The sequence below is a fragment of the Homo sapiens genome, chromosome 9 (assembly GCF_000001405.40).
Source record: "Homo sapiens chromosome 9, GRCh38.p14 Primary Assembly".
NCBI lineage: Eukaryota > Metazoa > Chordata > Mammalia > Primates > Hominidae > Homo > Homo sapiens.
Window position 1 is genome coordinate 69553538 of NC_000009.12, and position 25808 is coordinate 69579345.

General features: G+C 39.7%; 1 protein-coding gene across 5 annotated transcripts in view; it reads right to left on the minus strand.

Moving 5' to 3' along the window:
• APBA1 (amyloid beta precursor protein binding family A member 1) overlaps positions 1 to 25808 on the minus strand; it is a 245482-nt gene that overhangs the window by 126006 nt on the left and 93668 nt on the right. The window contains exon 2 of one of the 5 annotated variants that reach the window (XM_047423300.1): positions 15546 to 17545. The exons of 3 other annotated variants lie outside the window; for them this stretch is intronic. The gene's annotated coding sequence lies outside the window, so the exon portion shown is untranslated. Of the gene's footprint in view, positions 1 to 15545; positions 17896 to 25808 lie in introns of those variants that run through there. One more of the 5 variants, XM_017014670.2, reaches the window with a different exon arrangement.

Here is a 25808-nt window from a genome sequence, read left to right on the forward strand (position 1 = left end):
CTATCAGTAACTCAGAATTTTTCACTGTTGAGCAGTATAGCATGGTATGAATATACTTCAATTTGTTCATCCATTATTTTACTGATGCACATTTAGGTCACTTCCAGCACGGACACTGTTTTTGACAGATTTCCATGGGGGTTAAGACTGGGATAGATGGACATAGCAAATGATCTGAGAATTCTAAGTTTAGGAGCCACAGATCTTTTCTACAGACTGTTCTACATACTTTACATCACAAGTTCCTGCCACAAATAGAATATACCTTTCTCACACCCTATAAAGTATCTGAATCAAAATGATTAAGCATCCAATTAAATATATTTGGTTCAGCGTGGTGCTAATAAACACACAAGTGTGGACTGAATCTTATATGGTCTTATTGGTTTTTCTGGTGAAAAGGGCTCCATTTCCAGGTCTTAGAAAACAACAGAGACCCCCTTGAGCCATCTCAGCAGGGCATGCAATTGAGCACAAAGGTGACAGAAAGTGTGTGTCACCTGGAAAAACTCATCCAGATTAGAAACTAAGCCCCTAGTATATCATGTTCAACTTGGGTGAATTGTAAAGACATTGAAAAAAGCAACATATTCAAATACCTACTGTTTACAGTGTCAATAAAATGCTACGGAAATATTAATGGTAATAGCATACATTGATTCTTCCATAGGACACATACTATCTTTAATCCTCACAACACTACCAAGTGAGTATTGTTCTTCCCACAGTTCAGGTGAAGAAGCAGACTCAGGGGCATTAAGTAAATTAAGAGTAAATTAAGGTCATGTACTTAGTAAGTAACAGACCCAGAACTTGATCCTAGGGTGTCACATTCTAAAGCCCACCCAATTCTCCTTACACTAAGACATCTTTATACAATTAGTAGGCACCATATATTCTATACTTGAAGAAGTTAGATATAGGTACAACTAACTCACTTGTGATCCATTAGTGGTTTTTGATGATGAGAACTGCAAACCTCTAATATCTCCATTCCAAAATGATCAGCACCCAGAGAAACTCTAGAAGTTTCCAGCGGCACACAAGGAGCTTAAATATTATACAACAAAGACCTATGTGCTCATAAGAACAGCTTTCCTCAGTGCCTCCATGATACACCAGTCAAAACATTTCATCAGTTCTAATTTTTTTCTACCTTAAAAATAAGATTATTTTGAATGAGAGATTTTGCTACTGCCTCTCAAATAAGCACACACTTTAAAAATAGCAAAGAACAGCAGATATTTTTAGGGTAAAAAAAAAACACACATGGTGATGTCCTCAGATTCCAAAGATAAGTCTTTTTATGAGAGCTTTTTCTATTTATTTTGATTCAGTAGTAAGAACACCTGCAGAAAGATCAGCTCTCTTCACAAGACCATTTCTTAAGCATTCATCGCAGACATAACAGATGATAGCATGGAGACAGACTAAGCTAAGAGAGCTGGAGCACAACTGATGATTCCTACGTCCCGCACGTGTTCTAAGAAAACGACATTCCCATAATTCAGGCATTCAAAACTAAGTGAGGCATGGCAGACAAGAGCATTGCAACATCAGAAAGTCATTTTGCTTGGAGACGGTCCAGGTTTCTTCCAAAGAGTAGTAGATTATTTAACCACAGAGATAAGTTTTAATAACATTTGTGCAATCATTTTTCAATGCATGGGAGGAAACAAGCTATAGCATTGGGCTGTTTCACCCAGATTTAAAACATTCCTTAGACTGTGTGGCGAGGGAATAGAAGGAATGGATAACCAGGCTGGTGGTGCTAGATACCACACACCCTTCACCCTCCCTTGTATTCTATTTGACTATATGAGTTTTGAAGGCTGGGGCTACATAAAATGTCATTTGTCCTTTTTATAAGCATATTTTCTGTGTTATGTAAAATATCCATAAATATAAATTTAATGCCTGCAAGTATTATCTCATATGTTGTGCAGTAATTTGTTTAATCATTGGCAAAATTCAAAGAATGAATCATCTCAATATAGAAAAGGGTGCAGAGAACCAGCCATCTATCCTTCTATACTGGCATACTTGGTAGTATATTTGGTATTTAACAAACATTTTGGCAAAATATAAAAAAAGTTTTATCAACTTAACAAGATTCATCAAAATATTTAATGCCTTTTTAAAATTAAAATGTCTAGAAATAAGTAACTAAAGTAGAATTTTAGCAATGAGAAAGGATACTTCATGGTTGCTTTAATTTACATCTGTTATTACTAGTGAGTGGAACAGTTTTTGAGATGCATACTAGCCATCTGATTTTCTCTTTAGGAAACTGTCATGTCCTCTGCTCATTTATCCATTGTGGCCTTAGTGTTATTCATAAGAATTATAATAAGCTAGTTATATAATGAGAATATTATCCATTTATCTGTTAAAGTTTGTTTATGACTCAGGTGCCTGTTTTAATCTAAACCTAAAACTGATCAACCCCAAAAGAGGAAGCAGTTAAGTGGCAACAACAAAGAAAAAAAACAAAAACCAAACCACTTTCATATTTCTAGCTCAAAACAAATAGCTACTTAAACACAAAAGCATTTAGAAATTCTCCAACAAGGGACTCACATTCAGTGAATGAAGTCTTTCATAGGAACCCTTAAAGCACAGCAATGATATAAACATAATGAAGAGAAATCTGTTACTATCACATTGACATGCCTCCCCACTTTATATCAAGTGGAAAATATCGAATCAGTTCAAATATATCTGGATCTAAAACAAAATCAAGTTTCCTTTGGTCAGCAAGAACAAGCCACAGCATTTACATCTTTGTTCAGTCCACACTAAAGACTGAAGTCTTGGGGACAAGTATAAGAAGGCAGAGAGATCCTGGACACACCTAGACTGGAGGAAGTCTGTGGTCACACTTGTGCTGGACAGCCTGTCGGAGTTTACACAACTGCAGCCAAAGACAACTTCCACTGCAGTGAGAATTCTGATGCCCAGGGCCAGTTTGTGGCCCAGTGCAGTTGTACTTTATTATTCTTTGCCAAGGGACCAATAGTTAGCACTTTTAGAAAAACACGAGCCTCTGCATTATTTATTCCTTAGAGATAGGGGATGATGCCCAGTCTCAACAGTTGCTTTGGCTCTTTAATTATATTGTAAAATTAACTGTGACAGGTTGTTTTATTTCTTTTGTGTCAACCAAAAGCACCCATGGGATACATAATTTGGTGATCAAAGCCTTAATTTAGGAAAGTTAAGAAAGATTTTAGGAAACAGACTGATATCTAATGTGCAGAGGCAGCGTGGAAAAGGAAATTAGCAAACATTCAGCTAAAATGTTCTCAAGGGCAGGGACTCATAGTAATAATGGAGTCATTTCAAGCTTGAAGGAGGTTACCTATGGGAGACTGCCAGATCGCTTCAGGGATCGCTGCGTTTCATCAGCCTAAAAATGGAGCTGCCTCTAGAATTTCTAGGTCAGCAAAAGATAAAGAGGAGACACTAAAATCTAACAAAATGAGAGGCTGGCATGAAACATTTATAAGGGGTTAAGAATGCTGTAGATGAACAAATTAGGAGGCTATACACCAAATCTAGAATATTGTATCCACGATCATGAATACTATTATTCATAAAACATGGACAAAGGAGGTGAGACAATTTGATATCTAAGTAAAATGCCCATAATCTTCCTGATAAAGCCTGAACTCACCCAACTCCACAAAGAGAATCTATGGCCAAGTCTTCTCAGGGTCACATAGCTCCTTCAGCCATGACAAAGTGTAGGTGCTTATTAAATGGGTTCTAGTAGATAAATAAAGCCTTATCTTCATCCAGGAAGAAAATTATTTCATCCATTTTCAGTATCTTCAAAGCAAGATTTTACACAACTTCACCTAGAGGTGAACTCCTGGCAATGAAGAACAATGAATAACCCAAAATTCATCACAGAATCCATAAACCTAGCCTTAGGCAATAGCTTCTTCCTCCTCCTCACCCGCTCCCTCCTGCTGCCCTGTTGCCTGCCATCAGAAATGTTTATGACTCCAAGATGACTGATAACACCTTTCCCTTCTTTGAACACAGATATCAATGAGTGGTCGAAAGGTGAGAGAGTGGGCAACAAGATGGAAAGGCAGCAGCAGGCATTTGGCTTGGATGGTTTCTGATAATGCAGTCACTTTGAATGTTCAAACCAGAAGCCATAGGCTGCAGAATGGTTTCCTTTTGCTTTCGCCTTAAGAAGGTGCATTCTCTCCTGTTTGCCACAAGCCTCAGTGCTCCCGGTTGTCTTCTATTTTGCCTGGTTTACCCTTTACTGATACTCCTTTTCTGGCTGAAGATATAGATTCCATTCTTATAAATGATGTATGTATGTTGTGCTTGAAATGTATATTGTCTAACTTGTGGCAGGAATCTTTATATAGCACAAAGGTCACATTCATTAATTGTGCTGTTCAAATCTTCCACAACTTTGATCATTTCATTTTCTGAGGCATACATGTTAGAATCTCTGATTATAATTATGAATTTGTCTATTTCTCCTTGTCATTCTATTAAATTTTGCTTACTTTGAGAGTTCAAGCTCAAGACTTTAATGGCTTTCTGATGAATTATTCCTTAAAATTATCTGTGCATTAAAGTCTATTTTGCATGGCAGTAATGTGGTTTTTATTGGCTCTCAATTTTTAAACTGTCTTCCTGATTTATCTTTTTCTACCCCTTTGCTTTGTGTTATTTGGCTTTGAAAGTCTCTTATAAATAGCATGGAGGAATCTCCATCTTCTAACAGATGTTAAACATTAAATCTGTTAATAAATTATACTTATATTGTGATTACTAATTTTATTGCACCCATTATTCCATTAGTAATTTCTAATTACTATGTCTTTTCTATGCTCCTGTTTTTCTTCTCTCCTGATTACTGTTAGGTTCAATAACTTCTTATTCTTGTTTTCCAATTAACTGATATGAAAGTTAGACATCATTCTGTTTCTATTGTTCTTGTGACTATCTTAAATTATATATATATACACACACACATACACACACACACACACATATATATATATATATATATACACATTATATGTATAACTTTTATTTTAGGTTCAGGGGTACATGTGCAGGTTTGTTATGCAGGTAAATTCATGTCACAGGGGCTCGTTGTACAGATTATTTCGTCACCCAGATGTTATGCCTAGTACCCAATAGTTACTCTTCCTCCTCCCATCCTCCACCCTCACAGACCCCAGTGTCTGTTGTTCCCTTCTTTGCATCCATGAGTTCTCATCATTTAGCTCCCAATTACAAGTGGCAACATACAGTATTTGATTTTCTGTTCCTGCATTAGTTTGCAAGATTACTTTAAATTTTTACAACTGACTCAAAGTTAATATTTCTACCCTCTTTCAGAATAAAAAAAGGATCTTAGAAGGCTTTAACTCCAATTACCACCTACCACCTTCCATGATTGTTATCTAGCACCTTAATTCCATCTTGCTTTTTAACCCCCACTCCTCAAAGTCATTATTATTGTAATTAGTCAATATTTGTTTAAATGCAACCACTAATTTACCACTTTCTTTTCTTACTGTTCATTATTAAAACCCACTCCAATCCTCTGAGTTCTATCTCAGTCTTACAGAAATACATCTTGACCAATTCTTTAGTGAGTATTAATAAAAAGCAAATTAAAAAGTCTTTATTACAGTCTCCATCTTTAAAAAATATATTCTTTCTGGGGGGTAGGTTTAAAATACATACAGTGAGGTGCATAATGTGCATGCATTTAAAGGGTTTGGCTCAATGAATCTTGCATATGTAAGCACCCATGCAAATACCATCCAGATCAAGATGATAACATTTCCATCACACTCTCATGCCCCTTCTTTGTCATTACTCACTCCACTATTCAGACATTTATCCCTATTAATTTAGCCTATTTTTTGAATTTTATATAAATGGAATCCTATGGTGGGTACTCTGTGTCTGGGTTCTTTCACTGAACATGTTTGTGAGACTATTGTTGTTATCACTTTTTTCTTTCCTATCACTGTGTATTCCATGTCATTATCATTCTTAAAATAATACTTTAACAGGGCATAGAATTCTGGGTCGACGGTTATTTTTTCTCAGATTTTGAAGTTGTTATTCCAATGTGTTTTAGGCTTCACTGTTGTTCAGAGAATGCTGCCAGTTGAACTGCTATTCCTTTGATAGCAATTTGACCATTTCCTCTGGTTATTTATTTTTCCCATTTTTGGTTCTATTAAAAATGTTCTATTCATCTTTAGTGTTCTAATACTTCCATAGGTTATATCACAGTGTGGGTTTGATTTTAGCAATGCTAAAAGAATTGATAGAAGTCAATGTGCTTCATCAATCCAACATACATCTTTCCATTGAGACAATCTCCCCCAAGCATCTGCATCACTAGAGTAGTTTTGGCCCCCACACCAGTATACCAGGACATGGAAAGAGCTTGATGGGTGGAGTTTCTCAAGTCCCCTTCTTGCGAAAGGGGCAGCCCTTGAGGAGGTCAGCAATATATGGGGATTAAGTTTTAGCTCCCTGCTTGCCCAGGTTTAGTCACATCAACTGCCCCTGCATGCGTGGACATTAACACAAGGGACTCTCCAAATCAAACAGCTGCCAAGGCCATGCCTTCAGCTTTCTTCTCTGGTTCTTTTGAACTGCCACTTCTTTTTTCATACTTTGGTGATTTCTCTTTCTTTCTTTTGATCTTTATTATGACTTTTTAAAAAGTATATTTTAACCAATTTTTCTATTTGAGGTTAAAGGAGACTCTGCATGGACTTTGTCCACCATGTTTCCAGAATCTAAATTTGTTTCACTCCTTATCTGCCAGATGCCCATGCCCACACCACACTTAGTGGCTCTTAACTAAGAGCAAGAGCCCTGAAGTTATGGAGACCTGGATTTGAATCACTGCTTCACTACTGGCTAGCTTTTTGAAGCTGGATAGGTTATTTAACTTCTCTGAACCTTGGTTTCTTCATCTCCAAAAAGGGGATGATCAAAATTCTTACCTCACAGCATTGTTGTAAAGATGAAATATGGGAATGCATGTAAAGTACTTGGCACAGTACTTCATTAAGCACTTATCAATAAAATTCATATGGGCTGAGAACCCTTATCTGAAATGCTTGAGACCAGCAGTGTTTGGGATCTTAAATTTTTTCAGATTTTGAATATTTACATTATACTTAACAGTTGAGCATCCCTAATCCAAAAATCCAAAATCTAAAATGCTCCAATGAGCACTTCCTTTGAGCATGACCTCTGAGCATCATGTCAGTCCTCAAAAAGTTTTAGATTTTGGAGCATTTCAGATTTAAAATTAGGAATGTTCAACCTGTATTATTAAACATTGCACAACAACTTTATTCAAGTTATTAATTCATCTACCTAGGGATCAGATTTATGTACAAGTTGGTGCCACACAGACACAGAAAAATATGTTTCATGAGAAGGAAGTAAACTGAATAATAACTAAATATGACAATAGAGATTCTACACATGTGGAATATATAATGTTGCTCTTTACAAATACCACTTTACAAAAATCCCATATTCTCATAATTTTCCAGGGTTTGGTGAAAATCCTTGAAAGTCAGAAAGAAAATATTAAAGCAAGAGAAGTGCCAGTGAATAATGAGATAAAGGCTTGCCCCAGAACGTAAATCAATGCATGTGCTTCTTTCATCCAGAAACTTGCTGTAATAAAAAGATGAACTAAATAGTGTGTTCAGCAATGTAGTTGGTTTATATGATGGTGCAAGCATTTTAATTCACTGTAGATCAGGAAAAAACAGCTTACTGACTGGGTGGAGGAACACACTTTGAGTGATACTGCTTTAGGGACATTTTAGCACTATCCTAAAAGTGATACCATTGTTATGTAGGAAGGAAGGTAGCTTGGATGCTGGGGGCCTGAGTTAAACAATAACATCAAGTGGAGAACAAAATAAATCATGCTACATAACCAAAGAAAGTTCATTACAAACCAATCAACATCTGTTAGAGTTCAGAAGTACACTGGAGTCCTGACTGTAGTTGATTTGGGGTATAGATGGATCTGCCAAACCTACTCCTTATCTACAGGATTTTTTTTTTTTTTTCTGAAACAGAGACTCACTGTGTTGCCCAGGCTGGACTGCAGTGGTGCCATCTCGACTCACTGCAACTTCCGCCTTACAGGTTCAAGCAATTCTCCCTGCCTCAGCCTCTCAAGTAGCTGGGATTACAGGTGCACTGTGCCTGGCTAATTTTTGTATTTTTCAGTAGAGACAGGGTTTCGTCACGTTGGCCAGGCTGGTCTTGAACTCCTGACCTCAGGTGATCCGCCCATCTCGGTTTCCCAAAGTACTGGGATTACAGGCATGAGCCACTGCGCCCTGCTGTCTAGGGGATTTTTTAAGGTGACTGTAATTACCATCATCATAATCATTTCTACTATTTGATTGCTAGCAGTTTTTTTTGATGGGGGGAAGGTGATACATTTTAATTCATTTTTTCATTATTTTTCCAAAGAAGCAGCAGTTGGACTGACTTGGTGTACTCTCAAAGTAGGCCTAATAATATTTTCCATGTACATTCAAAGTGAATTAGCTTAATTATCCTGATTTTATCATTATACAACGTATACGTGTAAAGCATTACACAGTATCCCACAAACATGTATGACTATTATGTGTCAGTTATAATCAACAACAATAACAAAAGATACAAAAGGGATTAGCTTGCTACAGTAAGGCCAAATCAAACATCAGATTTAATTCACAAGAGAATTATACCTTATAGTATAAATATTACTAGTACCTTCATATATCCTAGATTTTCTTTCTTTTCTTTTCTTTTTTTTTTTTGACATGAAGTCTCCCTCTGTCGCCCAGGCTGGAGTGCAGTGGCATGATCTCGGCTCACTGCAACCTCTGCCTCCTGGGTTCAATTGATTCTCCTGCCTCAGCCTCCCCAGTAGCTGGGATTACAGGCACACGCCACCAAGCCCAGCTAATTTTTGTATTTTTAGTAGAGACAGGGTTTTGCCATGTTGGCCAGGCTGGTCTTGAACTCCTGACCTCATGTGATCCTCCTGCCTCAGCTTCCCAAAGTGCTGGGATTACAGACGTGAGCCACTGTACCCGGCCTGTATTTCTGCTTTAATCAATATTTTTAAAGGTTAATTTAAGGATTAAAAAAAAGAAGAAGAAACCAACAATACATTATGTATGGTTAGCCTGCTGGAAAGAGAAGAAAGATCTGCCCAAATAGAAAATTTTAACTCTGGGCTTAACAATACAATACAATGCTCTTTTAAAATATTGATTTAAAAATAAGGAAGTTAAAAACAATTTGACAAAACAGTATTGGTAGACCTGAAAACTACAGAAAATAATTATTTCAACATTCACTATCACTATCAACTCCAAAGCTATGGTTTACAAAATTTAGCTTGCTTCTTTGGAAATGACTGTTTTTCTAAATCTTGAACAGAATCTAGTCATCTCAAGATGCTTAAAAGCCTTCAGCTAAGATTTGCTCTGGGCTTCTGCAGCCCATTGGCTGGGGTAAACTCGATCCCTTCCACACACGAGTCTCAAGTCTGTCTTATCCCACAAATGTAAAGTGACTTAAATTTGGCAAAGTACTTAAAATCTGAATCATATATTTTCACTTTTTTGGCTATACCATTATTAATAAACTTAAGAAAAAGAATATCCCTAACCAACTTGTCACTTTAAAAATAACTTGCTTTCCCCATCCCTGCAAAATGGACTTTGAAATTAAAAAGATTTTTCTACTAAATTTCTCTACTTTTACCAGCAACAGAGATATCTTCAAAACTTCTCTTCCGAAATGACTACAAATAAAAAGCTGTCCCAGTATGAGCACAACTTTCATCAAGATCCAATTTAAGGTTTACTTTCTAGTCTCTGAAATATAAACCTTCCTTTGAATTCAAAAGCATAAAAGATGCCTATGGGTTAATACACGGGTTGCATGGCTACCAAATCACGGTGGCCATACAACCCATATATTAATCTTTCTACTCCACCTGACTTGTATTGGTAGAGAGTATATTAGCTCATATTATTCTCAATGTACTGCTTACTTGGTTTTAATTTTTTTTTTTTAATTTGCTAGAGACTTGTCTATCCATCAAGATTCAAATCACTCTAAAGAAACCAACCCTTCTGGCTCAACTGTTTTGCACTTTATGGTTCCTGACACTCAGACAGACAGATGTTTCCAAGACACGTGAGAGAACAGGAGGTCTTTACCTTTGCCAAGACTGATTATTTCCATAGCACTCACTGACTTTTGTCAGTGTAAAGTCTCTGGGATAAAGTGTCAAGAAATACAAGCTACCCACTTTGAAAACAGTGCAGTCTCTCCTCAAGGTCAAGTCTCAGTAAATTGTGCTTGGTGGCCTTCATTTGACAGCAAGAGACCCCTTTTTCCGGTGGTGGTGATCTATTCCCAGTGACCACCATAATTACCTCCATAAGGTGCACATAAGATGCAACTCCCCAAACTCCAAATTCGAGAAGCACCTTCCAAAGCATTCTCTCCTGACTTCTGTATTTCTAATAAGCACCTCTCGGTTTCAGGATCACAGGCTTACAGATGACTGATGGAACTCATACCCAAATGCAGTTAATCTGAAGAGCCCTGGAAGAGCAGGGGCAATTTAATCTCTGCAGCAATGCTTTGAAACCCAGTGACAACTGTAATGGCTTTAATACCAAATGACAATCTCCTTTCAAGAGCTTTATGAATATTAATGTAGTGATCACAGAGCAATATTTAAAAACAAAGAGTATGTCTTCATTTTCAACTGGAACATCTCTGAATTATAAAAGGCCCACTTTCGCCTCATTTTCACAGGTTATTTTCACAGGTGCATTTCAATAAGGTAGGCTGGACATTGCTTTTACTTTTGGGGTGGGAGGTCACAAAATGACCTCCGTATGCCTTAACTGACAAAAGTGAAACTCATGCTGTCAATCTGTCAATTTTTAAATAAATCTAGTAAATAACTACCCAATACATGCTCAGAAGGGGCCAGAATTTTGGGGAGTAAAGAAGTAGGAGACATCACTTCACACCCATTAGGATGGCTATTATCTAAAAATCAGAAAATAGCAAGTGTTGGCAAGGCTGTGGAGAAATTGGCACCCTTCCTGCATTGCTGGCAGGAAAGTAAAATGATGCAGCCACTTGGAAGACTGTATGGCTGTTTCTCAGAAAAAGTCAACACAGAATTACCATGTGATCCAGTAATTCCAGCATGTACCCAAAAGAGTTGACAGCAGGGACTCAAGCAGATACTTGTATATCAGTGCTCTTAGCAGCATTATTCACAACAGTCAAAAAGTAGAAACGACCCAAATGGGAAAAGCTCATTTTGAATGATAGTACAGTAATCCTTTCGAGGTGTGTGAATTATTTCTAATGTGAATTTAGTGAAAAAGAGGCAGCACAATATGTAAGAAGAGAAGGCACATCTTTCTTTGTTGCTCCTCATATAAGCAAGGGCATAAAGCTAAGAGAAGAAAATGTTCTAAAATACTTTTTCTAGTCCTGAAGTAAGAGGCAGAAAACAAGACAGATTATTCACCTGCAAAAACCTCCAAACATCTAAAATGTGAAGTGCTGTCAGGTAGAGTCCTGCACTCATTTGTTATCTGGGATGCCACCTTTCCAAGGACCCTCCTGTTAGCCAGGTGCCTGTCCGAGCCCAAAAGCCTTGGTGTAGGTGCGGACCCCAGCCTCCACATGCCACAGCCAGTGCTGTGCCTCAGCAAAACTGTGATGGACCTGAGATTTACATACACGGCTGGTGAGAGGCCTTAGGCAGTCCTTAAATGCCAGCAGTCTCCAGCGAGCCCATCAGCTCCTATGACCTTAATCATCTACGCACCAGTGCTCCCGACTGTGTCCCTGCATCACACCTCTCCATGGAACTTCATACCCCAATAGGCAGCTGCCTACTGGCAGTCCCACACTGCCCACAAATGAGTTCATAATCTTCTACTCCCATCGCATTTCTCTTCCACATTATATTATTTATCCCAAGAAATCCCATTTCCACCATTTCAAAAGCAGTGCCATGGCAGCTGTCAATGGTTCATCCTCCCCTCTTATTCTCCGCGTCCAGTCAATTGTCCAGTCCTGTGGCTCTACATCCTCCATGTCATGCAATCCACCACTCCCCTCCATGTCCACAATGTCCACTTTCAGCTAGGCCTTGGCATGAGTCCTTACCGTTCTCCTCCCCTGTCTTTGCTTTTTTCTCAGAATATTCTGCACTCTGCAGCCAGAGTGATCTTTCTAAAATGCAAATGGAATCACGTCCCTCCTCTGTTTAGAACGCTTTGATGGCGTCTACGGCTCTCAGAGTGAGGAGCAAGCCCTGACCGTGGCCTCAAGGCCTGCCTGCTCAGGCCCCACCGACCAACCCAGTTTCATCTCTTACCACGTTCCCACCCCTATTCCCAGCTTCAGAACTCCCTGCCCTGCTCCTGCACACATGCAGGGCCCTTGCCTGGCCAGCCTCCGCTCATTCTCCAGAACTCAGCCAAAAAATCTAGAAATCCTTTCCTCAAAGATCCTTCCCTTGACTCTCCCAAACTGAGGTAGGTCTCCGTGCTGCATATCCCCATAGCAACATACACTCCTGTTTTATAGCACAGATTAGGGACATCATCAACAACATTCTCATGTGGAGGATTGCCTCCCATGCCCTGGTCTGGGGTCCCTTTGTCCTGGGTCTGCAGCCCTTCACCACGCTGACCATCATGACATTAACCCAGGGTGCTGTAGGTGTCTATTTGTAGGTGGGTTTCTACACCTGATTGCAAGTTTCTTGAAGGCATGTACTGGGTCTTTTATCTGCCACTCCCTGGTATCTGGCATGGGGCCTAGTGCTTATTGGTGCTTGGTAAATGCTGTTTGAATAAAAGATGATGAAAATGCTCTGATAGTGACTCTTACAAATATAAATCTGATCATGTCACTTTTCTGCTCAATGATTTCGCATCTCAGAATGAAATTCAAAGTCCTTTTCATGGCCAGTCAAGCTTTGCATGATTTGGCTCCTGGCTTCCTGTCTGATCTGCTCTCCTAAAACTCTCCTTTCTCAAGCACTCCAAGCTCATTCTCTCCTCAGAGCCTTTGCACCTGCGGCCCTCTCCACATGAACCCACTGTCCCCGAGGCGTCTTCAATGCTGGCTCCCCAGCTACATGCAGGCCTTTCCTCAGCTGTCCCCTACCTGCCCCACCCCACCCACCATCACACACAACTCCCCTGCTTGGCTTTATATTTCTTCAGTTATTATCTGGCATTATACACTTGCTGTTTGGTCACAGTCGGCCTCACCCTACTTGTGTGTCAGGGCTGTGAGGGCTGAAACTCTGTTCATGTTATTTCTTCCTGTATCCCAACTGGCACCAATTAGATGTGCAACAAATATTTCTTGAATGAATGGAGAAATACTCAAAACTGAATGGTCTATACACTTCAGTACTGTTTGAATTTTTTTTTACAATGATCACTTATTATAACAAAAACCTGTAGATTCTAGTATAGCATTATATATTCATTCAACAAGTATTTGTTGAATTCCGTAGAGCACAGAGAAGCGATCAATCATTTCCACACAGAAGAAACAATGCTAGAGCGAGCTCCTGAAAGATGGGCAGACACCTGCCAGAGAGAGAAGGGTGATTCCCACAGAGAAAACTGCACCCACAAAGGGGATGGCCAAGGATGGGAGAGGTTCTTCAAATGCTAAGGAAATTCCTGCCGCCCCCACCGCCATGCAACACAGAGTCATTCATGTAACTGGAATTCTTTTTTTTCCTTTCTGTGAATTTTTTTATTTTTTTATTTATTATTATTTTGTATTATACTTTAAGTTCTAGGGTACATGTCCACAACGTGCAGGTTTGTTACATATGTATACATGTGCCATGTTGGTGTGCTGCACCCATTAACTCGTCATTTACATTAGGTATATCTCCTAATGCAATCCCTCCCCCCTCCACAACCCCACAACAGGCCCCGGTGTGTGATGTCCCCCTTCCTGTGTCCAAATGTTCTCATTGTTCAACTTCAAGTTTTCTACATTTCTCATTAACTTTGAATCCCAGGTCTGGGCCTCACGCTCTCATGTCAGTCTGACTAATGCAGGGTTTCCAGCAGAGCTCAGGCCTGTCAGGAGGAGGTGCAGGCCTTCTTCAAATGGCACTGGGGTCCGGGACATCCTGTGGGGGACTCCCCTCCCCTCAGCACCCACCCTCCACCTTGAGCATCTCTGCCTCCAAGCTCGTTCCCCAGGGGTGTAGGAGAGTGCTGCCTCCCACAGGTATGATGAGGTGGGAGAAATGATGAAAACTCTTGGGCTTGTGTTGAGAATCCCAGGAATGTTCCAGACTTCATCCCCAGAAAACTCCCATCACCACTCCCAAAAAGTAGAGTCACACCTTTTGCCAAAAATGCTTAACAAACACAGTAAGTATGAGAAATGACATAGGATAAGGTCAGTCTACACTTCCTTGCAGTATGGACTACTAAACTGCCTGGGTAGGAGACACAGGAACGTTTTCCACGTAGAGAAGAGCAACAGAAAGCCACAAGGGCTTCCTGAGAATGTCCCCCATGCCCTATGTAGAATTTCTCATTTCTCAAAGCTCCTAACCAGAGTTGGCCTGTGATCACACTTCAACAAACACAGCAAGGGTTGGGGGCACTTCATGAAAGATCCAGAGTTTTCTCTTCACTTTAGGATGCATCATTCTCTCCTTTGAAAATTTAAATTTGAGAAGAAATAACCTAGCCAGGCATTCTACATTTTATGACTTAATCTGTTATTCAAAATAGAAGAGAACTAATTACATCTTCCATTTAATTACTACAAAAATACAGCCAGAATGCATGCATTATATCACATTTACGCCACCATGAAGAGAACCAACCTTCCCCCAGGCTTTGGTTGCCTCTACTGGAACTTTAAGTATTTCCGTGCTTCTTCCAGCTCCTCTCATTTTCAACCAGCAATGGAAGAGATCATATAAAAAGTGTGAAACTCATTCATATAAATCATTTATGATGTGGTCATCTGAGGGTCTTGATAAGCAAATCCACATGTTCAATGGAAGGTAACACAGCACAGTGGTCAAGAAAGGGAACTGCCATTTAACAACTGTGTGTACCCAGTGTTCTACGCCTGGGTCCTCATGTCTCAAACTGTGACATTAATGGTATCTACATGGTAGAATTATTGCAAAGAATAAGAGAAATGATGTGGGGAAAAAGTTTAGGATAGTGACTGGCATGAGAAAGTACTCAAAAACAGTGGCTCTATTACTTCCAGCTAAGCTTTTTAGAGGTATACGTGAGCCAGGATATAAAAACTGGACTTTCCACAAGAGCTGAGTCTTTGCAAGCTGCTAGGTCCCCAAAGTCTGGCAGCAGAAAAGGATGCTCAAAGCAAAAAGAGGTGAAATGTGAAAGAATGAATATTGAACAATTCCTTGTTGCAAGGCTCACTTAGCTATGGAACAGGCATCCGCTAGGGTTTCCGTTTGACCTCCTGTGGTGCTTCTTCCCTGAAAAGGAAAGTTAACTTGGTCACCTTCCTAGGGAGGCTGCATTTTTCATTCAGGTGTGGTTTTTCACACACCAACACACACACCCCACCCCACATCACATCCCTGAACTGAAAAAGTCTTCTAAAAGAAGTGATTTTCACGTAAGTGAAAGCCAAACAGAATTTGCCAAAGCTATTTGAGAGAGTGTGTGAGAATGTCTTGTATGTATTTATTTCCATACATTCTAGTGTACAGGAGGGCTATTTTGCCTCTCCCCTGCACCCTTCCCTTGATATATGGAGACATTTTTGGTTGTCACGTGTGAGTGTGTGTGTGTGTGTGTGTGTGTGTGTGTGTGTGTGTGTGTTACTGGCATCTAGTGAGTAGAAGCCAGGAATGCTACTAAACATTCTACAATGTCCCACACACAAAGAATTGTCCAGCCCCAAATGCCAATGGTGCCGAGACTGAGAAACCCTCAAAAAAATATCTACTTCTCTTATGCATATGGTTGAAGGTGACTGAGGCAACGTTACACATTTCTACTAACATGAAGAAACAGAAAACTTTGTCTGCAAGACTTAACATTCTTCTTGTGAAATAAACTCTGTTATAGGGGTGAATGCCAGGCTTAAAATGGAAAAAAATTTCTTGCCTTCTTCTGCAATAATACTGATTCAAAAATGGCCCAAAAACTTGCTAGAGTTTTTTTTTTCCTGCCTAGGCAGATATGAACAGCCTGAATTAAGCTCCACAAATAATTAAATCAAATTGCCAGGCATGTAATCTTCATTGTGGGTGAGTAACATTGTAAATTCTTGTTCCCATGCCAGGTAGGTCAGAATCGAGGCAGAGATTTTAAATGCATTCCAAGACAGAGAATCAGAGAATATTAATCAGGGATCTAAGAAGCTTGAGAAGGCACTTAACTCATTGCTTCTCCTTCTAGCAAAAGAGAGGTGGTGCAGGAGTCATCTGGAGCAATGAGAACTTGCCCAGAGTTTAGGACCTAAAGGCTACTGAACACATTTTAATAACAGTCACTTGCTTTATGCGATGGAAGTATTCACTTTAATATAAAGTGTACTGAGTGCCGACTCTGTGCCAGGCAGTGATGACATGCATGAGAGTGAGACACAACCTCCAGTGGCTGAGGATGGAGACATGTGCAAGAAAAGAATGACAGTGTGATTGCAGAGGCCAGCTGCCCAGTGTTCAAAGATTCCCAGAGAAAATACAAAGAAGTCACAATCTGGGGGAGTTAAGGATCTATTTGGATCCTCATGATCATATAGGATCATATTTGAGACAGCTGGTAATACTGTAATATATCCTTTCTCTTGAATTCAAAGTGACTCTCCCAAAATAGTTTGATCCTCTTTAAGCATCTCTTTTTCTGATATTTAGAGATTTATAAACAGATATAACATGATAGAATGATCCTCTGAAAAGGGACTAAGTAAATTATTTTGTACTAGGAAAAAACCTACCTTCTAATCAGTTTGCAGCTTTTTCAAGGAACTTTTGGAGACACTTTGAGAGAATAGCCCCCTTTGTCTTTTTTTTGTTACCTCTCACCCAACAAACACATTATATCTTCACTGTTATGGGCTAGATTGTGTATCTCTCTCCCCATATAACATGGTAAGTGCCATATACAAACATGAACAGGCTATAAATTAAATAACATTTCATCCCCACGGCGATTGATTACCAAAGCCTATGATTAGAACTTCCATTTTCCCTCTTGGTTTGTTTGTGACTATGTTCTGAAGAAAGAAATTCAAGTTAATAAATCAACAAGAACAACGTCAGCCTAATAAGACAAGTCTATTCCGGTTTTTATCACTTCTTACATTGACAAAGTAATTCTCCCACTCTCAGATAGGCGTGGATGGTGGATTCTAATCCCAGCTCTCCTTTCCTTCTCTCCAACGTGCATGTTTTCCAAACCCAAGCCTAGGGTGGGATGTCAAGCAGAAACACAACTTTTATTATCAACTGCTCACACTGTACACTGCACAATGAAGGAAAAAATGTTACCTGTTGAATGAATGCATGACAAGGGTTGAAAATCTTTAAAAAACTAAATTATAAAAATAACCACATTAGAGAAAAGGAGAAATTGCCCATAACCTCAGCATTAGTCATCTGTTTCCTGTGCCAGTTCTACACCGCTGTATCATAAAAGTCTATCCAGTATTTTTGATCCTGGCCTTTTTATCCATTTAAATAATTATTTACTCTATAAAAATAGCCATTAAAATGTATGTTTTCTGAGAACATTTAATATGCATAGGGAAATGCTTTCAATATAATGTTAAATAACAAATACTAAGTACAAAACTAAATAATATATGACTCTAATTTTTGAGTGTGTATATATTTGCACACACACACACATACATACACATAGATGGAAAGATATATACCAAAATATTAACAGTGGTTTCGGATGGTAGGATTACTTTTTAAATTATTACTTTTCTGAATTTTTTGACATTTCTATAACAAATATTTATCATTAGACAATGGAAAAAGTTCTAAATATCATATTAAATTTTTTTCTGTTTCTAGTGTTGATAACTATTATTTTAATGCTCATACAATATTCCATTAAATGGACATCACTTTTTAACTTAATTCTCTCTTGCAAGGAAATGTAGGCCATTTCCCATTTTGGGCTATTATAACTCATGCTTTGAACTTCTCCCTGTCTCCACATCCTAACTGCTTTATGTGGAAAACGAGGCTGTCATTGATTTGACCTCTGCCGACTGCTGCAATCTCAGGGCAGAGCTAAGGGCACAGGCATAGGAGTGGGATGTTCTGATCAGAATCCTGCTTTACCACTGCTTCAATGCACAATCATGAAATAAAACACAACAGTGGATAACGAGCTCCTGCACATTGAGGGCAGTCCAAGATAGTGCTGCTAGTGTTATTATCTCTTTTTAAAATTTGATTTATTTTTTAAATTCTAGGGTACATGTATAGGATGTGCAGGTTTGTTACATAGGTAAACGTGTGCCATGGTGGTTTACTGCACCTATCAACCCATCACCTAGGTATTAAGCCCAGAATGCATTAGCTATTTTTCCTGATGCTCTCCCAACGTGTGCCGTCCCCCCTGACAGGCCCCAGTGTGTGTTTTCCCCTCCGTGTGTCCATGTGTTCTCATTGTTCAGCTCCCACTTCTAAGTGAAAACATGCAGTGTTTGGTTTTCTGTTCCTGCGTTAGTTTGCTGAGGATAATGGCTTCCAGCTGCATCCATGCCCCTGCATCTCCCTCACTCCTACTCCTTCCCCAGTCACCTGAAGCTCCAGTCAGAAGGAATTATTTGAAGCTGACCAAATACTAGCCCCTGCAGCTATCACTGCCTTCATGTGTATTGTTCCCTTTCTAGAAACCCCCTCTCACTTCATCTCTACTGTGGCCAACTCACGCCCACCCAGTTCAAGTACCTATCCTCTTGTGATCTTTCTAGACCTCTTGTCTGGGCTAGGTGCCTGTCTTTGGGAGTCCTGGAGCCCCCAGTACACACCTCCATCTGAGCATTTGCCACATTTTGTTTGCCTGTTTATTTCCCTCTCTCTTCCACTAAACTGAAAACTCCTCCACATGAGAGCTGTGATCTCCATCCTGAATGCTTATTTACCACAGGGTTTCATAAACAGTAGATACTAAGCTGTTGGGTGCCTGGATGGCTTTTTGCCATGTTACTCATCTTCAAAAAATATGACTTTTGGTGGTTGCATAATATTTCACTGTTATAGGTTTTATGATTTAACTATTTTCTTTCCTATGCAGTCCCTTGTTTTGGGGTGGGGAGAGGTATTTATAGAGACCATCCCAGTACATAAATCTTTTTTAAGAATACAAAAAATTAGCTGGGTGTGGTGGTGTGCACCTGTACTCCCAGCTGCTCAGGAGGCTGATGCAGGGTAATCGCTTGAACCCAGGAGGTAGAGGTTGCAATGAGCTGAGATCGCACCACTGCACTCCAGCCTCGCGACAGAGCAAGACCATCTCAAAAAAAATAAATAAATAAAGAAGAAGAAGAAGAATACAATTTGGCTGGGCGCAGTGGCTCCTGCTTGTAACCCCAGCACTTTGGGAGGCCAAGGTGGGAGGATTGCTTAAGCCCAAGAGTTTGAGACCAGCCTGGGCAACAAGCTAATTTAAAAATTAGCTGGGTGTGGTGGCAGGCACCTGTGGTCCCAGGTACTTGGGAGACTGAGGCAGGAGGATCACCTGAGCCCAGGAGTTCAAGGCTGCAATGAGCCATGATTGTGCTACAACACTCCAGCCTGGGTGACAGAATATGATCCTGTCTCAAAAATAGTAAAATAAAATACAATTTACAGCATTGTTGTATTTACAGAATACAATTCACAAAATTGTTGACTTTGAACATCTTAAGATTTTGATTTTACATTGCCAAAGTGTAGGGTGTGATATCTTTAGATTCTAGTCCCAGTCTTTTGTATTTACTGCTGCGGTACTCTAAATGAACCCACTAAATAGCTAGTATTCATGTCTTCCCCTGCAAAACGGTATTCTTGCGAAGAGCTTCAGCAGTTTCTGACAATTTCCAAGCTGCAGCGCCTGGGTCCCTGGTGATGCACACATATTACTCTTGGAGGGGCCTCTGCTGGGGTCCTGTGGAAAAGGAAGACTCAGCTCCATTTCCTTGGCATTCTGCCTGCAGAGGCCAGACAGCTGGCTGTGAAATGGGAGTTCCTGAAACTCAGCATGATGACTTAGAAACAGCACTTTGATATCATTACATTCCTGTTCAGTGATATTTCCTCTCCTTTAACCCCAGTTATGACACCTTCTTTGAAACTTTGCCTTATTAGGTAATACGAAATTGGTGATACACAAACATTTTTGTCCTACAAAAATAGTAATTTATTTATGTTTGTATATGTGTGTGTACTTATATACATATTTATGTATCTTCAGATAAATGTCTAATTAATAAAACAAGTCCCCTAGATATATTTAAGACAGACAGGAAACTTTTACATGAAGATGGTGAACTTCAAAACATGGTGCATCCCCCTGGCCTTGCATAGGAATCACCTGGGTCCATACCGCCCTGACGAGCAGGCACAGGGATCTGTATTTTGAAAAAGTTCCCAGAATAGTTCTGAGCATGCCCAAGTTTGTGAACTATTACGACAGAGCCTCATTTTGTCCTATCTCTAATGCAGTGATTGCTTCTCCAACCAGTTTCCCCTCCTTCTGTGGACCTTTCTTCGCAAACAACTTTACTTGCTTCACTCCAGGCTGAAAATTTTGGTCAGCAGAATAGACTTGGATTAATAAATTCACATTAAAAAAAATCCTCTCTATATATGCATAGCCTGCCCCATAAAGCAAATGAATGTACTGATCTCTTTTTGGAACTCTGGAGAAAGAGATCCTGTGAGGTTTCTAGGGAACAAATGTTTAAACAGCATAAGGGTCCTCCTAATTTTTTGTAGTTGGTGTGCTGGTTTTGCTCTTATTTTAGGTAATATAAAAAGCATTCACAAAAACTTTACAAGTAGTTTTTTGAAACATGGATCCATTTATTTTCTTTCATAGAAAGTGAAAAAGCAGCAAAACAAGCAAAAATACTGCTTCGTGATAAATAATAAGCCAAAAAGACTATTTGCAATATTATGGATAGTGGTCACCTCTGGAGACAGGAGGGAAGCCAAGTCAGGGTAGAGCAGCACAGGGAGACTATGAAATGCCCACGGTCTATTCATTACTCTGAGTGTCCAGTGTATAGAACTTTACACAATTATTATTATTGTGACAGGGTTTCATTCTGTCGCCTAGGCTGGAGTGCAGTGGTGCAATCTCAGCTCATTGCAGCCCCTCAACCTCCTGGGCTCAAGTGATCCTCCCACCTCAGCCTCCCAAGTAGCTCAGACTACAGGTGTGCACCACCTCTCCTGGCTAATTTTTGTATTTTTTTGTAGCAATAGGGTTTCAACATGTTGCCCAGGCTGGTTGCAAACTCCTGGGCTCAAGCAATCCACTGGCCTCAGCCTCCCAAAGTACTGGGATTACAGGTGTGAGCCACTGCACCCGGCCCAATTATTACTATTATTATTTAAGCATAAAATATTATCAATATCGTGAAAATGGCCATACTGCCCAAGGTAATTTATAGATTCAATGCCATCCCCATCAAGCTACCAATGACTTTCTTCACAGAATTGGAAAAAACTACTTTAAAGTTCATATGGAACCAAAAAAGAGCCTGCATTGCCAAGTCAATCCTAAGCCAACAGAACAAAGCTGGAGGCGTCACGCTACCTGACTTCAAACTATACTACAAGGCTACAGTAACCAAAACAGCATGGTACTGGTACCAAAACAGAGATATAGACCAATGGAACAGAACAGAGTCCTCAGAAATAATGCCGCATATCTACAACTATCTGATCTTTGACAAACCTGACAAAAACAAGAAATAGGGAAAGAATTCCCTATTTAATAAATGGTGCTGGGAAAATTGGCTAGCCATATGTAGAAAGCTGAAACTGGATCCCTTCCTTACACCTTATACAAAAATCAATTCAAGATGAATTAAAGACTTAAATCTTAGACCTAAAACCATAAAAACCCTAGAGGAAAACCTAGGCAATACCATTCAGGACATAAGCATGGGCAAGGACTTCATGTCTAAAACACCAAAGGCAATGGCAACAAAAGCCAAAATTGACAAATGGGATCTAATTAAACTAAAGAGCTTCTACACAGCAAAAGAAATTACCATCAGAGTGAACAGGCAACCTACAGAATAAGAGAAAATTTTTGCAAGCTACTCATCTGACAAAGGGCTAATATCCAGAATCTACAATGAACTCAAACAAATTTACAAGAAAAAAACAAACAATCCCAACAAAAAGTGGGTGAAGGATATGAACAGACACTTCTCAAAAGAAGACATTTATGCAGCCAAAAGACACATGAAAAAATGCTCATCATCACTGGCCATCAGAGAAATGCAAATCAAAACCACAATGAGATACCATCTCACACCAGTTAGAATGGTGATCATTAAAATGTCAGGAAACAATAGGTGCTGGAGAGGATGTGGAGAAATAGGAACACTTTTACACTGTTGGTGGGACTGTAAACTAGTTCAACCATTGTGGAAGTCAGTGTGGCGATTCCTCAGGATCTAGAACTAGAAATACCATTTGACCCAGCCATCCCATTACTGGGTATATACTAAAGGATTACAAAACATGCTGCTATAAAGACACATGCACACTTATGTTTATTGCGGCACTATTCACAATAGCAAAGACTTGGAACCAACCCAAATGTCCAACAATGACAGACTGGATTAAGAAAATGTGGCACATATACACCATGGAATACTATGCAGCCATAATAAAGGATGAGTTCATGTCTTTTGTAGGGACATGGATGAAGCTGGAAACCATCATTCTCAGCAAACTATCGCAAGGACAAAAAACCAAACACCTCATGTTCTCACTCATAGGTAGGAATTGAACAATGAGAACACATGGACACAGGAAGGGGAACATCACACACCGGGGCCTGTTGTGGGGTAGGGGGAGCGGGGAGGGATAGCATTAGGAGATATACCTAATGTTAAATGATAAGTTAATGGGTGCAGCACACCAACATGGCACATGTATACATATGTAACAAACCTGCACGTTGTGCACATGTACCCTAAAACTTAAAGTATAATAAAAAAATTATGCATTATTTGTGTGATAAAATTTACTATAAAATATAAAATATTGTTTAATTATTAAAAATAATTTTCAAATTTTTTTATTTTTGGAGGGATGATAAAAATCTTTTAATTTTTATTTTTTGATTTCACTTTCTAAAAATTGACAATAGTTGCACATATCTATGGGGTACATGGTGATGTTTTGATATGTATAAAGTATAGTGATCAGATCAGGGTAATTAGCATATCCATCATCTCAAACATTTATCATTTCTTTGTGTTGGGAAAACAGAATATCCTCCTTCTAGCTATTGGAAACTATATATTATTGTTAACTATGGTCATCCTACAATGGTATAGAAGACTAGAATTTACTCTTCCCTATCTAGCTGTAATTTGTGAATAATTTTATTGAGTAAATAATCAACTTGGTCTATGTGAAGAAAATATTGAGTCATCATGAGTAGACAGGGTGCATAGACATGGCAACAGCTGTGATGGTGACATGAGACTGAGGGAAAACTAGGAAGCTCTGGACTGGACCAGCCCCACATTATGGGAAACCCAGGTGGTTTTCTGATTTTCCATTGGCGACCCACTCCAGTACACCAGCACACAAGGGGAACAGTTTCCCTCAAGACCACCATTGAATAGATGGCCAAGAGAGAAAGCTTTGGAAAGGAGACTGGAGGGTTTACAATTTAGGACCATCTGAACAAGGCAAGTAAAGAGTTGTGGTGGGTCAGCTGTGAGTGAAGAAACCACAGGAGGGAAATGTTACTCAAATAAAATTACTTCAAAAGAAATGCAATCATCACTATAAAAATCTGGTATCACTTCATATAAATGGAATATGACAATGAAAAATAAATACATATATTAGTATATAAAGAATGCTCATCCTTTAGCCACTTAAAATCATCTGGCTAACCAGTCTGAGAAAACCTTTTTTTAAGAGCTTCATATTTTAGATGATAAAAACAAGGCCCAGAGAGGTGAAGGGACTTATCTAAGGTAGCACAGCTGGAATTCACCTGTCTGGACTTCACCACCACAATGCTCCCAGTGTGGCAGCAACCCAGGCAATCACCAGCACTGGCCCAACTGGAGAAAGCCTATCATCCCAAGGGACCCTGCAAACACTTTCTTCTGTACCTCTCAGCTCACCTAAAATGAAGGACCCTAGATTGGCTGTGTTGAAGGTAAGTGTAAAAGGAGCCTAGAGGCAAATTAGAAAACATCGATCTTACTTTCTTCCTCTAAAGTGAGAAGTTAAATCAACCAAGCCAAATTAGGACATCCCAGCTGTAGTGGCAAGGGAGCCCTTGGCAAAGCCCAACACAGCATGAGAAGCAGACTCCAGGCCTTTTCTGTGCTCACTGGGAAGCCAGCCCTTTACACTGGAGCACGGATCCAACTGCTAAAGCTGCTTCTATGTCCCCACAGACCCTGCCTCTCCAAGCCACAGCACAGCTGGCCACATGGTGGTTTTCTTTGTGAGCATGCGCTGATAGGTATGGGAAGGCCAGGGCATCTAGGGTCAAGATTTCAATCATCTTTTGAGGCTCAACTTGCAGAACATCCTCTGCTGGGGGTTCTCTGGGTCTTCTCACCTTCACTCATTTCTCCTCTCTAAATACCACCCTGAATTTCTGGATAAAAGGGGCTTTGAGGTGGCAATCTGGTTGCCACTTAAAAACAATGTTTTACAGACTTTAAATTAAAAAATCACGGTTTCTCAAAACAATTTTATTCATACTTTACAAAGATTGAGAAATAAATGATCTATCTTTGGGAATGTCATTATGTAGAAGGGTGGCCAGGGAAGATGTGGCAGATTTTACAGGAGTGGGGAGCCCCCTCCCCTGGCCACCAACTGGTGCCATCTCTGCTGTTCTCCTTCTAGTCTTAACAGTCTAGCTTAGCACACAAAATCTGTCTGCAACAATAGTATGTCTGCATTTTAACAATTGCAATTTTATCACAACTTCACAAATTGTAGGGACAGTGACTCTGCCTTTGTGGACACCATTGTACCCAGCACCATGTTAGCATATATTAGGCACTGAACTGTTGTTGAACAGATGGATAAGAAACCTTGGGTTGTCAAAAACTGCACTACAGGAAGCCATTCTTTTACTGAGTAAAAGAGGGTTAGTGAATGCAGTTCCAGCAACAACCAAGTTCTATTTCCTACAGAAATTTCAACGAGTTTTTTTTTTAAGATAAGTGAGTACAGCTTAAAACAAAAAACCCATACCTCACTGAGGCACCTCTGCTTGTTAACATGTGACTCAATATGAAGGGTCTCCCCAACCTTTAACTCTCCTGCATGGAGCCAGCATCAGCACCCTATACTCTACATACTGCAGCCCCACTGTGGTCACAATGTGCACAGCCACATGAGGAATGCCCCTGGCCTGCACCGGGAGCAGCACTTTTCTTTTCCCCCTAAGAATGTTGCTAATCCCCGAGCAAGATGGGGTCATTGTCAACAGAGG